General features: G+C 36.8%; 1 long non-coding RNA gene across 1 annotated transcript in view, besides 1 other annotated feature; it reads left to right on the forward strand.

Moving 5' to 3' along the window:
- Positions 1 to 305: 305 nt before the first annotated feature.
- The window catches only part of LOC105369474 (uncharacterized), a 41,954-nt gene continuing 24,520 nt past the window's right edge, over positions 306 to 17,739 (forward strand). Inside the window, exons 1-2 of the long non-coding RNA XR_947985.1 lie at positions 306 to 339; positions 2,265 to 2,331. This is a non-coding gene — a long non-coding RNA (uncharacterized LOC105369474). The remainder of the gene's footprint in view (positions 340 to 2,264; positions 2,332 to 17,739) is intronic.
- Positions 1,817 to 2,111: a silencer, noted in NCBI's record as "tiled region #7280; K562 Repressive non-DNase unmatched - State 24:Quies". NCBI's record gives its function as "represses a minimal TATA promoter and a strong SV40 promoter by Sharpr-MPRA in K562 cells {active_cell/tissue: K562}" and the evidence as "EXISTENCE:reporter gene assay evidence [ECO:0000049][PMID:27701403]".

A 17,739-nucleotide genomic window follows, 5' to 3' on the forward strand; every position in this document is an offset into this window, starting at 1 on the left:
AGCCAAAATTGCTTCGAGCTAAAAAAAGAGTCATCTTTCCCATAGTGATGTGTTCTACCAAGTTTCTTCTTGTCGTTTGCTGTCTTTTCACTTGCAATACAGAGATGTTCATAATACAAAGAAAAAGAAAAATTATTTGCTTTTTGGAAAAATCCTTTACTCACTAGTACCCCTTGACATGTCAAATATATTGTATCTTGATTAAGTAAAATACACATTATTGTTTATTTTTTAATTTTTCAACTTTTATTACAGGTTCAGGGGGTGCATGTGCAGGTATATTACAAAGATACATTGTGTGATGCTGAGGTTTGGAGTATGAATGAATCTATCACCCAGGTAATGAGTACAGTACCCAATAGGTAGTTTTTCAGTCCTGCCCCATTACTTGCTCCCTTCTCTTTTGTTCCCCAGTATCTGTTGTTCTCTATGTCCATGTATACTTAATATGTAGCTCCCACTTCAGAGAGTACATGTGGTATTTGGTTTTCTGTTTGTGTGAGTTTGCTTAGAATAATGGCCTCCAGCTGCATCCATGTTGCTTCAAAGAACACGATTCTCTTCCTTTTTGTGACTGCATAGTAGTCCATGGTGTAAATGTATCCATATTTTCTTTATTGAATCCAGAGTTGATGGGCACCTGGGTTGATTCCATATCTGCTATTGTGAATGGTGCTGTGATGAGCATATGGGAGCATGTGTCCTTTTGTTAGAATGACTTATTTTCCTTAAAAATATAATTTCCTGTCATTTCTTTTGATATCTTGGTTTCGGATTATGGAGAGATTTTCCCCACTTAAACCCACTGTTTCTCCTTTGAGAAGAAAGAAAATTTTAAGTAAGGTCATATTACCTTTACAGAAACATACTATTAGGAACAAGTGCAGCCCAAAATGTTTTTGTGCATAGGGAGACATTTCACATGTCCCTCTGTGTTCAGAAGAGAGTAGGTTCTTTCCGTACTCCTAAATCTTCCTCTTTATGGCCGCTAGCCTGCATAATTCATGAAGGCAGGGAATGTATCTATCATGTTTACTAGCACAGTGCCTCACACAAAGTAGAATCTTATATTTTTTAAGACGGAGTCTCACTCAGCCGTCAGGCTGGAGTGCAGTGGCGTGATCTTGGCTCACTGCAACCTCCAACTCCCTGGTTCAAGCAATAGCCCTGCCTCAGCCTCCCGAGTAGCTGGGATTACAGGCATGCACCACCACACCCAGCTAATTTTTGTGTTTTTAGTAGAGACAGGATTTCATCATGTTGTCCAGGATGGTCTTGATCTTTTGACCTCGTGATCTGCCTGCCTTGGCCTCCCAAAGTGCTGGGATTACAGGCATGAGCCAACTCGCCCAGCCACAAAGTAGAATCTTTATACACACACACACACACACACGCACGCACATGCACACACACAGTAAATTACATCTGTTCTTTATTTAGGAAAAGAATGCATGAGCACAGTGAGACTGCCTTAAAAGTAATTTTTGCAGGAGATATTATGCTATAAAAACAGTTGTAATAACAGAGTATCACATTTCTTAATTACCTTCAGTTTACCTGACTTTGTAATCCATGTAGATATTGGTAGTCTGTGACTTGCACCAGGTGAATTATAGTGAGGATAGGAGCCAGTATGTGAAGGACTGTTCCTCATTTTGACGTGAAAGCCAAGGAAAAAGTCAGATCACATTCTTGCACATTAGACTCCCAGGGGCTGTAGTTGTCACACAGCTGAATAATAGAATATGAACTTCCTATTTCTTACCTGCTAATTAGTAAAATTAGATAAGGGACATCCATCCCCTCTGGAGGACCAATGTCCTGTGATAAATAGTGATTTCTTGAGCAACTCCATACTATGCTCTGCAGATAGAATGAAGAAATACATTTTGGAACACTGACAAAATTCTTTTGTGATGTACAGTTCCCTAATTTTCCATTTCACTAAGTACTTCCTTATTCAGTGAATGCCAACACAACACCGTTATAGCATAATACTCGCATAGCAAAGTTGTGACTCCCTGGTGTTTTGATTGGGAAGGCTTAAGTCAGAGTATCTGAGCCTCTTAGAGGATGATCACCAATTTTCACAGAGATATGAGTCACATTTTTCCTTTCCTGGCAAAGCTTCTTTCAGAGGTAGAACACAGTTAAAGAACACAAAGAAAGAACTGGGCTAAATGATTAGCAAATATAATCAATGTAATACACACACACACACAATCACAAATTTTTTTCCAGGTGGTGTTTTTTTTCTGTTTTAGACACCTCCAGAAATCAAGCATCCAATACAACAACAAGCAAATGCTCCAGGCAGTTACCAGATTAAAGGTAAAACCACTGCTATTTTCAATAGATAAAATTATATCAGAATATACTTTTATTAAATAGAAATTCTAACTTAAAATGAAGCAACGTATCTTAAGAATCATCCTACTGGAGAATACCATTTATTTATAGCTCCCTCTAGCTTTCCTACTTAAGGTCTTAAACTGGAAGCTTTTCACAGAGGGAAAAGTTTTTACCTGGGTGAGATGATACCAAATCTTGCTCAAAGACTGTACTGTTTTATGTCTCCATGTTCTCTGAGCCTGTCACTTTAACCATGATACTCAAATCTAATTGGAATTTGAAAACCTGCTGTGAGTTCCTTCGTGATTTTTTTTTCTCTTAAACAGTTATGAAAGAAAGGTGTTGGGATTCTGTCTTCAGATATGTAACATTTTATGGATTTTTTTTTCCAGGTAGCAGTCCTTTGAATTTTCTTTTTCATACAATGCAACTTGTCTTTTAGTATCCACTGGACAGTGGGGTTTGCCAGTTTCCACAGTAAATTATGATTCCTTGAAGCTTTGAATGCTGTTTTCCACATTGGAAAATGGGGGTATATAAAAAGGCTTGAGATTTTTAGAGCTCTTAGAGATATTTCTGTACCATGGACCATTTTGTGGAACCTCTGGAAAGGTTACTTGAGGGGTTAATATTGAGGATGATGACAACTTCTCCTCAACTCAACAGAAAAGCATTAGTAATACTAGAAGGACATTCTCTTGGCTCCAAGAATTTAATGTTCAAACTGGAAATTACTAGAAGTCATATAATTTAATAGAAGAAGATACTGAATCTCAGAGAAGTAAAATGACTTCTCAAAGCTCCACTAGTTAGAAAGTGCAGCCAAGACTGAAACCCAGGCATGCTGACCAATTAAATGTGTTTTTCAGATAATTGCCATAGATAGCAGGATATGGACTCATCCTTTCATCAAATTGATGAGATTATTTATTGTGCTTAATTTGTAATCTCTCCATGAGCTTTGATTGGTCAACTTTAAGGTAATTCTTTGATATTGATTAGTTAGCAGCTAGATTAAAATGTCCAGAAAAGTACCAGTGAGAACTAGGAGGTAAAAAACCCAGAAAAGTCAGAGGCCCTCTTGTCAAGGTCAGTTACAGATGAGGAGATGACAAGGTTCATAGGGCCTACACCTAGATGTTGAATGCTGCATTTTGAGTTTTTTTTTTCATTCTATTATATGTTAACAAATTTCTCTCCGATATGGCTGTACCAAGATTCACTCTCACAAACCAATCCTTATGTGATCATTACATGTCAGACATTGCACTAATTATTTTATGCACATTAGCTCATTTGTTTTCACAATCATCTTACACATTGAAGTGCTGGTATGGTTATCCTTGCTTTAAAGATAAAAAGTTGGAGGCACAGAGAGATCAAGTAACATGTCCGAGGTCCTCCAGCTAGAAAGTGGCAAAGCCAGGGTTTCAACTCAGTCTGATTCTCACATGCACACACTTCATTTACTTCTCAGTACCAGCTACTTCACATCCTCCCCAACATTATTATGACAAGAATTTAAAATTTTTGTGAATATGATGTTTGTTAAATTGTATGTCTTTAAATTTTGCACTATGCTGGTTAATAATGAGGCTGAGTTTTTTTGTTTTTTTTTTTTTTCTGTGTTTTGGCTTCTTATATTTTTGTACTTGTGAGAGTTTTTTTCTATGTATCCTAAATATTCATTTCTTCTTGGTAGTGGGCATTGTAAATAATTTCTACTCAAATGTGGCTTGTTTAATAAACTTGTTTATAGTGATTTTTGTTTTATATAAGTTTCATGTAGTTGAACTTGTCCATTTTTTTTTCCCTGAGTGTTTTGTGCTTTTTGGTCTTATTTAAGTGATTTTTCCCTGTTTCAAGGTTTTGAAGATATTCACTCACCTCTTTTTATGAAAAGTTTTAACCTTTTGGCTTTCACACTTAGGAATTTAATACATATGGGATTAAATTGTATTTATGTTGTGAGGTTAAGAATCCAGTTTTTAATTTATGTATAACCAATTATTACAGCAGGATTTATAAAATAAATGATCATTTCCATGCTGATTTGTAACGCTACTTATATACATATCAGTTCTCCTGCCTATCCTTAGATCAATGATACATTGTCCTCTTATACCTTTATATTAACTCTTGATATCTGTCGGAGTGAGTTCCAACCATGTAGCTCTTTAAAATTGTCTTGGTTATTCTTGCCCATTTGGTTTTCCATTTAAATCTCTGAAACTGTTTATAATTTCCAATAAAACCTGCTGATATTTTGATTGGAATTATATTGAACATGTAGAATAATTTGCAGAAGATTGACATTTTTATGTTACTGCAACTTCCAGATTCCTGTTTTATCTCTCCATTTATCTAGGTCTTTTAAAAAGTATTCCCAAAGAATAGTCTACATTTCTACATGAAAGTCTAATACACCTTTTATTAGTATTATTTTTGTTTGCCTCATATTTCTATTTATACTGTCATTCTATCTTTATAAAATTATATTTTATAATTACATATGATATGTAAGAATTTAGTTGAGTTTTATAAATTCATATTATTGCCTAGTATTTTTGCTAAGCTCTTAATACTCTAATAAGTCTTGGGCCTGGGAGTGGTGGCTCATGCCTGTAATTCTAGCACTATGGGAGGCTGAGGAGAGTGGATAACTTGAGGTCAGGAGTTCAAGACCAGCCTGGCCAACATGGAGAAACCCCATCTCTACTAAAATAAAATACAAAAATTAGCTGGGCTTGATGGTGCACACCTGTAATTCCAGCTACTTGGGAGGCTGAGGCAAGAGAATCACTTGAACCTGGGGGGGTGGAGGTTGCAGTGAGCCGAGATTGTGCCACTGCACTCCAGCCTATCTGACAGAGCGAGACCCTGACTCAAAAAAAAGATAAAACTATAATAAGTTTTTATAGAGTCTCATGAATTGTGAATAATAGCAATTTAATTTTTGCTTTTTAATTTTTTTTTTTGAGACAGGGTCTCACAGTGTTGCCCAGGCCGACCTCAAACTCAGCCTAGGCAACATAGTGAGGCCCTCCCCTTTTTTTTTTTTTGGTTCCTTGCTTATAATAAACTTTAACATGTACAGGATTTATTATCATTGCTTCACCTTGGACATAAAAATTAAGTCAATAGGAACTCGTATAATTTTATTTGCTGTAAGTAAATAATAATCTGCTGTGTTTCAGAAAATGTGTGTATGCATTCAGTATATTAATATATTGAGATATAAAAACTTAACAACATGTTATCAGATCAACAAAATTCCCTTTTAGTCCTAGTTTGTTGAGAATTTTTGTCAAGAATAGTATTGAATTTCCATAAATGCTTTTCTGAGTCTATTGAGATGATCATAGGTTCTCCAGAATTTAATACCAGAATTTTAGTTTCACTTGCTTGTATACTGTCAACATTAGTCTTAAAATAATTATATTGTATTTTTGAGGTTTGGATTTTTGAAAAAAACTGTTCCTTAGCTCATCATTCTAGTTTGTACCTCAAATTTTACTTATAGATTCAATATCCTGTTTCTCTAATTATATCTTTTGGAGGGTTACTCAGAAACAACTGTTAGTATCACTCTTTCTTAGCTTTGGTTGATTTTAAAATGTATTTATTTCTACTCATTTAAAAATATGTTATAGTTTTTCTGCTTTTAAATCAGATTGATAATTACTTTCTCTTTAACACTTTAAAAATATTCCATGATCTTTTGGCTTCTAATATTGCCATTTAGAAAGAAGAATACTATCTCAATTTATTACTCTTTTTTGGAAGTCTGGTTGTTTTTATAAATTTTATGTCAGTGGTGGTGTGCAATGTCAGTCGATGGGTCTAGATATAGATTAGTTCTGTTTTTTCTGGTTGTCATTTTTTGTGCTTCATGAATCTGAGTTCATCAACACCAGAAAACTTGCAATTATTTTTACAAGAAGTGCTGCTCCCAAATTTTCTCTGCTCCATCCTTCTGAAATTATCTTTATTCAAATACTAAGACTTTTATTTCTTGAACTCCTGACCTCAAGGAATCCAACTGCCTTAGCTTCCCAAAGTGCCGGGATTACAGGCATGATCCACTGCACCCGGCCCTAGGACTTTTATTTCTGTTAACTGTGTCAGTCTAAACCTCTGGCATATTTTCCTCCTCTTTGTGTTTCTGTTTTTCCTCTGTTTAGGTATTTTGTCATACATTTTCTATATCACCATTTAGTTATTTTTAAAATATGTCAATTCTTTTTCCATTAAGACCTTATTTTATATCTTCAATCAATAAGCATGCTTGTTTTATATCTGTATCCAGTGATTCCATTATCTGAAGTACATAAGAGTATCTATACCTGGTCTATGTGGGGTCAGTTGTCATTTGTTCATTTAATTTATAATTTATTTTATTTTCAACTAGTCCAAAGAGGCTTTATTCATGTGAATCCTGTAGGTCAGACTTGAGTCTTATTCTTCAGAGAAGGTTTACACTGGGTTCTGCTGGATTCTCTTATTATCAATTCTTTCATTCCATTGACTAAAATGTTTATACTGAGAACCTGTTATGTACAAGGCACTTTTCCAGTTGATTGAGATATATAAGCAAATATAAAAGACAAAATTCCTGCCCTCCTTGAGCTCACAATCTAGTGGGGTGGAGGGTATTAGGTAAGTTCTAGTGAGGGTGGATAATAAGTAAGTTTTTTTTTTTTTTATTTAGAAGGTGATAAGTCTTTTGGACAACAGCAAAAAGTGAATGAGGATTAGGAGATTAGAAGGAGTGGATAGGTTGCAATTTTAAATTGAGTGGTGAGAGAAGACTTCATTGAGAAGCTGACATTTTAGCAAAGGTTTTATTGGGCAAGGAAATTTTCAGTACACATATACAGAAAAGAAATTCAAGACAGAGAAGAGAATGAGAAGAGAGAGAAGAGAACAAATATGGCTGGTATTTTCGAGCAATAGGCAAGAAGACAGCATGGATGCTGTCTAAGTGAGGAAAAATAAAGATAAATTACTAAGTGAGGAAAGATAAAGTCAGAGAAGTAACAAGTTTCTTTTGATTAATTTATTGGTTTGGGGATTCCTAGATCCCATAGGTAATATAAATGCATATGTTAAAATTGGGTAAGAACAGGCCTACAATTTTAATTCTCAAGAGAGGCCTATATATGCTTTTTATGACCAACTGCACTGTTTAAACAGACAGGCTTCTCATACCTCAACTATTGGTGGTGGATGAATTTTCTTTTCCACCTTTTCATGAAGTTATAACGCTTCAAGGGTTGAGAAACTTTTCAGGCATATCAGTTCCAACTCCCCACATTGCTCAAAACCAAGGCCGATTTTTCTGTCCCTAAGTGGCCATTGAAACCTAAAAATCTTTGGTTTCTGAGGCTGAGAGACTCGATAACCCCAGTGTTATTTCACACTTCCCACTCTTTCAGTTTCTTCTTTGTTTCCGATCCCTGAGGACTTCTCTTACTTTCTTGACAACTGAAACGTGCATTTAAAATACTGCCTGTAATAGTTTATTTAACATTTTCCAGGTGCCTTTTAGGCAGTTCAGTTTTCACATTTTTGAAAACAGAAGTCCAAAACACTTTCTATATACAGGTGGGGAGACAGAGGTAAAGGATATATTTTTCCTGCCTGAAGGAACTCACATATTAGAAGTAGATATAGAAACACATGATTATGTTTAAGTATAATCACCACTCTGATAAAAGCTAGTAAAAACTGCCATGAAAACAGAATGTAGATAGGTATTCATTTGAGTGCGCTGAAATGGAGAAGGCATCACTAATGATGCAATAGATGATGTGAGCCTGGAAGAATTGATAGTAGGCTGCCATGTGGAGGGAGAAAGCTTTTGTGTTCAAAGGCTTAGAGGAGAGTAATGAGGCTTGTGGGGCCAAACGGTGGTGCCTTGGGAAAGATGGAGGTGTGGGAATATTATGTACTTAAGGAGGTAAAAAGATGATTAAGAGGATGAACTTAAAGGAAATTTTCTTATTTAAAATTTTATCTCAGCTGGGCATGGTGGCTCACACCTGTAATCCCAGCACTTTGGGAGGCCGAGGTGGGCAGATCACCTGAGGTTGGGGGTTCAAGACCAACCTGACCAACATGGAGAAACCCCATCTCTACTAAAAATACAAAATCAGCCGGGCATGGTGGCACATGCCTGTAATCCCAGCTACTGCAGAGGCTGAGGCAGGAGAATGGCTTGAACCCGAGAGGCGGAGGTTGCTGTGAGCTGAGATCGTGCCATTGCACTCTAGCCTGGGCAACAAGAGTGATACTTCATCTCAAAAAAATAAAAATAAAAATTTTTATCTCAAGCCCTCCGTGAGTGCCAGGTACAAAGTTAGGGTTTAAAGGAAGCCAGTGTTCTTTATAGAGTGAGGTTTGTACACATGGGCCAGTACCTATGAGATTTTCCCACAACAATCAATTTAAACTATTACTGAAAAAGACTTCCTGAGCTCCCCTACCAGAGTTTTAAGACTTGTTTTCTATAAAAGTCCTGTTGATAAACAAATTCTCTCTAGGATGACCATCTTAATTTGCCCAGGACTAAGGGAGGGCCCAGAACACAGAACTTTGAGTTTTAAAACTGGTGGATGTCCTGGACAAACAGGGAAGAGATGGGCACTTTAGATATCCCCCTAGAATTTAAACCTCTACAAGAGCAGAAGAATGTTTAAAATGTTACTTGGCTTGTGGTAGATGATTAGCAAATATTTAATGCAAGAATTATACATGAATGAATATTTTTGCCATACAAGAAGGTATCCAGCTACCTCAACACATCCAGTTGACATTTAATAGGCATATCCAATTTTACATATCCAAAGTTGACTGTGAGAGGCCCCATCAAACCTTCACCAAAGGGAAAAATAGACACGTTTTCAGCTCTGGTGTCTGGAACAGTACTTAGGCCATTGTTTCTAGTGGAACAGGGTCAATGTAATGGAAACGAAAGACAAATAGGACCTTCACACTCAGAGAAAGTTATGATGAGCAACACTGGAGCAAAATTCCCCGTAGACTAGGCACATTATTTAGAGAATAGGCTATCCCTCTTAAAGAATTTATGATGAAGGCTCCTGCTAGTTTCCTGGTGACCAAAATGAGGCATACATCCACATCTTCTGGTTTTTCTATTTTTTGGAAAATTTTATGGCTAATGAAAATAGAAACTATTGCAAAATGTATTGTCTTCCTCTGAAATGTAAAGATTTAAGGATTGTTGTGCACTTTTCTCTTTCCAGACAACTTGCATTTCTACAGCCTTATATTAAGTGCTTTGGGGATATGAGCATATCTGAGTAGAATAGAGTGAAGCAGAGATGGAGGGGATCTTGCCTATGCATAGTGTACATTTCCTGGGCTGTTTAGAAGAGGAGGTGTTATTTGAAGGGAGATGTTTCAAAACAGGGAGTTGGGCTTTTGAAATAAGGCATGGTAAACATGAGAGATACACATTTGATCCCACAGTGTATTTCAAAGACATTTTATAAAGGTGCAAAAGAGTCAAGAGAAACATGAAAAAGGGAAACAGGATTCATTCTGGCCTCCTGTTATGCTGCCTAATGCTGAAGAGACCTCTTTTCCCAGCTCTGCCATTGTTTTCATTTTGGAAGTATTGATATCGACACTAACAGCATTGCCAACTGGGACATTTTCCTGCCTCTTAAAAGAGGGGCCAATTCATTTGAATGGTATTCTTAACTTTGATTTCTATAAATAGGATTCTGGAATAGTCAAAACAAATATATATTTTTTAATATTAAGTGGGAAATGTAGCATGGTTATTCCAAACTCACCTAACCTGCATTCAGGGATCAATCCGAAAGTTCCTATTTCTGCATCATAATATTGTTTTTCAGATTGATGCTGAACATTAGGAAAGGAAGATTTATTGGCACAATTTTTTTTTAAATTTTTTTTGAGATGGAGTCTCGCTCTGTTGCCAGGCTGGAGTGCAGTGGCACGATCTTGGCTCACTGCAACCTCCACCTCCTGGGTTCAAGAGATTCTCCTGCCTCAGCCTCCCGAATAGCAGGGACTACAGGCACATGCCCCCACACCCAGCTAATTTTTGTACTTTTAGTAGAGACAGGTTTCACCATGTTGGCCAGGATGGTCTCAATCTCTTGACCTCGTGATCCATCTGCCCTGGCCTCCCAAAGTGCTGGGATTACAAGCATGAGCCACCGCACCTGGCCTTTTGGCACAATTTAAAACCTTCTCAAGTCATTTAAAGAGATCAAACAAATCATTTTCTCATTTTTTCCCAAAACTTCTATTTTTATCATAAAACAAGGGAGATATCCATTTTTTAAAAGAAGTTAGAAATATATAACACATAAAAATTATAAGTTCTATAGCATGCTACATTCCAGAAATAACCCTATACTTACCCAACAATAAAAAAGAGTTGTGTTGCAAAATCCCTTGTGAGATAGCAAAGGAAAAGAGATCTAGTCAGAACTAAAATGGAAATAGTGTTTAATCAAATGCAGATAGTGAAGGGATAAATTCAATCTATAAACTATAACAGGGTAGCATGACAGACTAGGTTTTAATCCTATCACACAGGAAAAAGGTACATGCTAGGCTGGAAATTACTGCAGTTACCTACACTGATGATTTACAGGATGGTTGAGAAAAAAGTAATGAAACCAATTTCTCTCTCACTTGCACTGGAGGTTTTTTCGGGTCTTTGAGTGTAGAGAATGGTAGAAGATTACAGCAGAGCAATCTAATACTAAAAAACTCCATATAGATATTTAAAAATCTAATAAAAATAATCAGAGCAGGGTAGGGAGAGGAGAAAGAAGCTAAACATTTGGGAAGTCCTGTTCATAAAACTCTTCTCTATAAGAATTTCTTAAAGCCATCTATATGTTCCGTGTAGCAACATCTGCCCCTCCACCCCTTCATTTAACAGAGTGTGCAGCATTCAGTTTGAAAAGATAACATGGTTGATGCTTCCTCGCCCCCAGCATTCATCATTATTCTCTCTGTAGGTCTGAGCTGGGAGGATCTTCTTTTTCTTATTTGGCCGATCTTATGTTTCCTAAAAAGACTTCAGTATATTGGATGAAAATCTCTGTCTTCTCTTTTCTAAGCTTTTTATATTTATCTATGTGAATATGTAATATTTTTGTAATATAATATATACGTATTGTATTTATGTTAGTTCTTTTTGAAAATAATTCTCTGCCAGGTAGAAATTAAGGAGTACTGCCTATGTAAAATGAGCCTGGGTTGGAAAGAAAACAGGTGGCTGCAGTCAGATAATCATCCTACCGTTTCTGTCTTTATCAACCCCACCCTCAGGTACCTATCTCTGGCTCCTAATTCTTTCATTGGTCCTCCTTCTGTTGCAGAACACTGAAACCTTACCTGCAGCTTCCTAGTGGTCTCTCTGGTCTGTTCCCCCTGTATATGACTGCTTTTCCTAGCATTGATTCCCCTTCTCATTTCTGATACCTATTCCTCTAAAGACCTTGGCTCTGTGCATCTGCCTTGTTACTGCTTTATCTCTCCTTTCCTGTCCTCCTCCTCCTCACCCTCACTCAATCACGGGAAACCCCTTCCAGTCTGGCATTCTCTTTTCAGTTACGGCAATTGTCTCCTCCCAGTGAGAGTCTTCTGCAGGCTTTGCCTTTTCTTTGATAAGAGGAGAAGTACAGAATCATAGAGACAACTGTTGTTTGATTGCATCATCCTGTAGATTATTTGTTCAAAGAGGGTCTTGCCTGCTGATTTATGTAAATTAATCCATAAAGGGAAAACACTGCTTAAACCAAGAGCCCCTGAGTCACTAGAAGGGGTGAAAAATCCATTTCTTTCTACCAATCCTAAATTTACCAACTTTCCCAATTAGTCTCATATCACACATATCAAAATTTGCTTACGAGAAATTGCCACCAAGTTTGAATATGATTGGGTAGTTAGAGGAGCATTGATAACCTGCCTGTAGTTCTTTATGTTATAAATTCCACTAAAGTCTAGTTATGATTGAATGTTGGACTCCAAGTGACTCCTGGCTTGCTTAAGTAACCAAAACCATAACTTACCAGCGCCCCATGCTGTCAGTTAAAGAAGGAAGGCTCTCTTTCAAGATGGTTGTCCCTGGGAAATTGGTAGCTCCTCTGCTCACCTCACTGGGGACTTTATGTCACCATTTGCTTAGGAAGCTGTTCAAGATCTCTCTAAGTGTTACACAGAGACCCCCCCTTCCCCCCACTCCCACTTTCTGCCTCACAGGTTTCTAACGTACAGTGGCCAAGTGAGATCAAAAGAGCAGATGAGGTGTGGTTATTTTGTGGCTTTTTTTTTTATTGTTTTGCTATTTTCTATGTAGAGGCAAAGACTAAAGAATTTTTACCTCTTACATTTTGATGGTGTATTTCTTTGGATCACACCTGTCTAACCCATCTTGAGAGACTTTATTAAGGTGTGATTTAGCAATAATAGGAATTGAGGAAATTTGAAACTTAAAATATAATAACTACCTGTCATGACTGGTTAAAAATATGACAGTGATGCCACAGTGCAGATACTTCCCAGTAATCAGAACATTTCTTTCTTAACTTCTGCAGTCTAATTTAAGTCAGCCTCCACAGCAGTTGCTTCACCCTATCTTCCTCATATCAGATCATTCCATCTGAAACTCTGAGACTCTAAAGCAGCCTTAGGCCTCCCAGGTCAAGGCGTGTTGCCATTATAAGATCACTCAAGCACCATCCATTACCACTCACTTGCTCACATGCAATTTTAAGGAAGCAGACTTGTAGCTAATTAGAAAAAATAGCTGTTCAATTCATTAAAAACTATCTTATGCTTAGAGAGAGGAAAATACACTTTAAAAATGTGACATGTGAAAATCTATTTTTCAAACAGAGAAATACTTTGTGAAAGTTGTTATGAATGTTTAAATACAGGACTAAATCACCTTTTTTTTCAGAGTAAAATTTTTTTTTTGACAGTTTCTGGTGGTCGGAATCCCCCGTTATGCTAATTTTATTTCAATTGCCCAGTCAAGGATGAGGAGGGAAAGAGCAGTGCTCTGACTCCAGCCAGGCTTCGGAACTCTGGGCTTGGAATTGAATTGGGTCAGAAATGGCAGCTCACTCTAGGGAGTGGTACTAAGGGAAGGACTAAATGGGGTATCCAGAGTAGAAGTGAGTAAAATCTAGAGCAAAATAGTTAAGTCAAACAAACAATCAGTCTAAAGGTTGATGGAGAAAGGCAAACCCTGGTCAAAAATGTGGTTGAAGACAGTGGGATAGAACAAGTGGGTTTTGGTGAGTAGATGTTGGGCAGAGAGGGGCTGGCTCCACTTTTAAGGGTATCTGTGGCCACTTGGGAGATGAGGGAGCTCTAAGTGTCTTGGGAGGATTAACCTTTCTTTTATTTTGACTGAAAGCTTGAGATATGTGTAAGAGTAGAGTATACAATAGGAGGTGAATTCCAGCTTCCAGTCATACCTGGAATGCTCGGTACCATCCCATAACTGCCCTTGACATGGAGAGTCAACGAAAGCTGGCCAAGAGACTCATAGCCAAGATCAGCATTGGGAAAAATGTACAGTGATGGAAGTTTTCTTAGAGTTATTCTTCCAGTCTCCTCTTTATTCCCAGACAGTGTGTCACTTGGTGGGGAGGAGGCATCCATAGGCAACTTCTCATCTTTTAAGCTAATGGGTCTCAAAATGTGGTCCCAGGAACTCTGGGGGATTCCTTAACCCTTTTCAGGAAGTTCACAAGGTGAAAACTACTTCCTAGTAATACTAAAATGCTTTTTGCCTTTTTTTCTTTTCATTTTCTCATGAGTGTACAGTGGAGTTTCCAGTATTAGATGGTAACAGACTGAATGCAGAAACAGACTGGAGAACCTAGCTGTTTTCTATTAAGCCATTTTTATTTGAAAATATGTAAATTAATGTCCTTCTTGTCATTATTGTGTCAGTCTTGTACAGTTAGTTATTTATAAAGATACATTATTTTTGTGAATATATTATGTGTTTATTCTTAGTTTTAAATAAATTTTTAAAAATTCAGTTTTAATTTCTGATGTAGTTTACCACGTAAGCAAAAGCTTTGGAGGTCCTCAATAATTTCTATGAGTATAAAGTGGTCCTGAGTCCAAAAAGCTCGGGAACATTGTTTTAGGTCTATGCCTTTCCACTGTCCCTGTTCTTGAAGCAGGCGAAGCTGGCATCTGATTCTGAGATATGATGCTGAGAGCTCCATGCAGGCTCCTCTTATAACCTCTCCCCATTAGTCTATCACTGGTGCCTGACTTATCACTACTTGCAATTTCTTTATTTGGATTAAGTGATAGACAATGCAGAGCACTCTAAAAGATAAGTTTATTAAACTTTATCAGCAGTTAGCATCCTTTCAATATTGAACACCCATATAATAACACATTATTTAGTAGTTCCCAAACTTTAGAGCACATGAGAATAGATAAGTTGTTTACTGGAGATTACTCAGGCATTACTTGTTTTCTGGAATCAATTTTTGGAGAGTTTGGCTCAGGAATCTGCCTTTTCACAGAGTCTTCAGGTTATTTCTAAGTAGGCAGTTGGAGGGCCAAAGTTTTTAATATAATGTTGTGTTTATCTTGCTCACTGCATCTACAGCACTCCATCTACAGCAAAGTATATGACATATAATAATGAGATTTAAATAAATATCTGCTGAATGAAGGAATTAGGTAGTACCACTTCAGGTGCCCAGATTGAAGAATCTTGACAACTGTCTGGTGAGTCAGACTTCAGGAGGAATGTGAGGATATGGAAATGCGGAATCCACGACAGCCTGAGGGCATTGTGAGCCTCAGGAAAGAAAGAGAAGGAGGATAGGGAACAGAGAAAGAAGAAATAGAACCAACATTAGTGGCTGTGCCCTAGTATAGCTCTGGCATTATGCTAATAGTTTACATATGTCACCTAATCTTAATTCTCATGACAACCTTGAAAGGGGAGTATTGTTACGTCCACTTGGCTGTCACAGATATTCTCTACCCACCCCACCTCACCCCATGTTTCTGGGCTATACCTGAAATACATAGAATGGATATTTGACTATAGCAAATAAAATTTTTTACTAATTCTTCTTCACCCATTCTCTTCATCTGTAAAACAAGGTGGAAGTTGAGAACCAAGTGGATAAATCTTGAAATGTCTCCCAAACATCCAATCTTCCATTTTCCCTGAACTTACGTGCTGGCTTTCTGATTGCTTTGCCTTTCTCTGGATTACCACCATGTCCACATTCTGGACCAGGGAAGGGCAAAAGAGTGAGGAAGTCCAAGGCAAGCAACTTTATTTTAAAAAGCGGTGCAGAAATTGCACTATTCACTTAGGAGATGTGCCATCTAGGTACATAGGATTGTCCTCTTTAATCTGTCAATGTAGTTAAATTAATTAATATACTTTCTAGTGTAGAATCAATCTTGCATTCCTATGATGAGCTCAAATTAATCATGACGCATCATTTTTTATATAGTTCTAAATTTAGCTTGCTAATATTTTGTTAGAACTCTTGCATTTATGTACATGAGTGAGTGGTCTATACTTTTCTGTTTCCATTTTGCCTGTAGCTAATTTTGGTATTAAGTTACACCCGTATCATAAAATGTGCAGTAGAATATTTCCCTTTTCTTATCTCAGAAAAGATTTGTGTAAGTGGGATTTTTTTTTCTTTAAAATTTGGTACAACTCAGTGGTAAATCCTTTTGGGTAGTTTTTAAATGACTTATTTTCTTTAATGTTATAACAATTTGTGTTTTTCTATTTAATATTGAGTCAGTTTTGGAAATTTGTATTTTTCTAAGAATATGTCCATTTTACGTGTTCTCAAATTAATGGCATAGAGACATAGTATTAACTTATTTTTTAAAATCTCTATTATACTCTTAAAATTTTTAGTATTGTTTATATATGCCATTTCTGTCTCTTTTCCCCTTTCTCTTTCATAATCTGTTTTGCCTAAGGTTTGTCAGTTTTATTAATGTTTTCAACACATAAGCTTTGCTTTTCTTGATCCTCTTTATTTTGCCATAGTTCCTCTTTTCCCATTAATTATTGCCCTTCTCATCTTTATTTTATTTTTTTCTATTTTTTGGTTGACATTTTTCTAACTTCTCAAGTTGTATGCTTATTTACTGACATTCACGTTTCCTCCTATTCTAATAAAAACATATAAAGGTTACAGATTTCCTTTAATGTTGATTTAGCTACAGTTCAAAAGTTTTGATATAAAGCTTTTTATTATCTTTCAGTTCTAAGTATTTTATAATTTCTTTTGTGATTTTTCTCTTGGCCTTTGAGTCATTCGGTTGTGTTTGGAATTTCCAAATTATGAAGTTTGAAAATATTTTTTCTTGTTATTAATGTATACCTCAGTTAGACTAAAAGTAGATTTTGGGGTGCATGACACTAGATTTTTGAAATCTTTGCAGATTGGTTTTGGCCCAAAGTTTCACTTTCTCATTTCTTGATTTTTTTTTAATGTTTCTGTTTCTTTTGGAAATGTTTATCTTGAGAAATAAGAGCATCACTTAAAACTCCTGAGAAACATTTAAGTGCCTGAGCTGTGCAAATAATCTCCCCCAGTATTAAATATTGTGTCTCCCTTCTTTCTTCTTCATGACTCCGCAGTAGCTAGCTAGCTGTGACACACTGAGATTTAAGCAATGCTCTTTTATCATCTTGTCACGACAATATGCTGAAGCACAGCCCCTCTAATACATCTTATCACCTGATTGATTTCCACTCACGTACTTTAGGGCAGCTATTCCTGTCTATGCTGCTCAATCTTTGGTCACCCCTATAAAATTTAAATCCTTCTGATATTGTTTCTTTCTCTCCCATCCTAATCTGATTCCCCTACCAATTCTTACCACGATGCCCTTTTGAATCTCAGGATTCTCTTTAAACCTAAATGGTAAACCTTTTCAGGATCCTCTTGCTAATCTTCTCATTCATTTGAAACTGAAAAAAGAGAAGCTGGGGTCTGGCAACTAGAAGACTGCTGCTTTTCTCTTTATAGGCTTCTCCCTCTCAACTCATTCTGTTGAATGCTCCCTTGTTGAAAGAGCTGTTTAAATTGACAGTCTTCACTTCTTTACCTCCCATTCCCTTTTTAACCCATTGTAGCAGAGCTTCACTTCTTATTGTTTCTGCAGAGACACAGGGAGTATTCCTGCCTGTGACCCAAAAAACACCATCCATCCACAAATGACCAAATTGTGCAACACAGAAATGTGGTCCTCTTGTATTTGTGCCCAGTTCCTGGTTTAGTCTTCAATCTTCGGCTCCATCTCTGAAGACTGAGATAAAATCTGTCTTTTGCCAACTCACGTAGG

Source organism: Homo sapiens, chromosome 11 (genome assembly GCF_000001405.40).
Source record: "Homo sapiens chromosome 11, GRCh38.p14 Primary Assembly".
NCBI classification, from domain to species: Eukaryota; Metazoa; Chordata; class Mammalia; order Primates; family Hominidae; genus Homo; species Homo sapiens.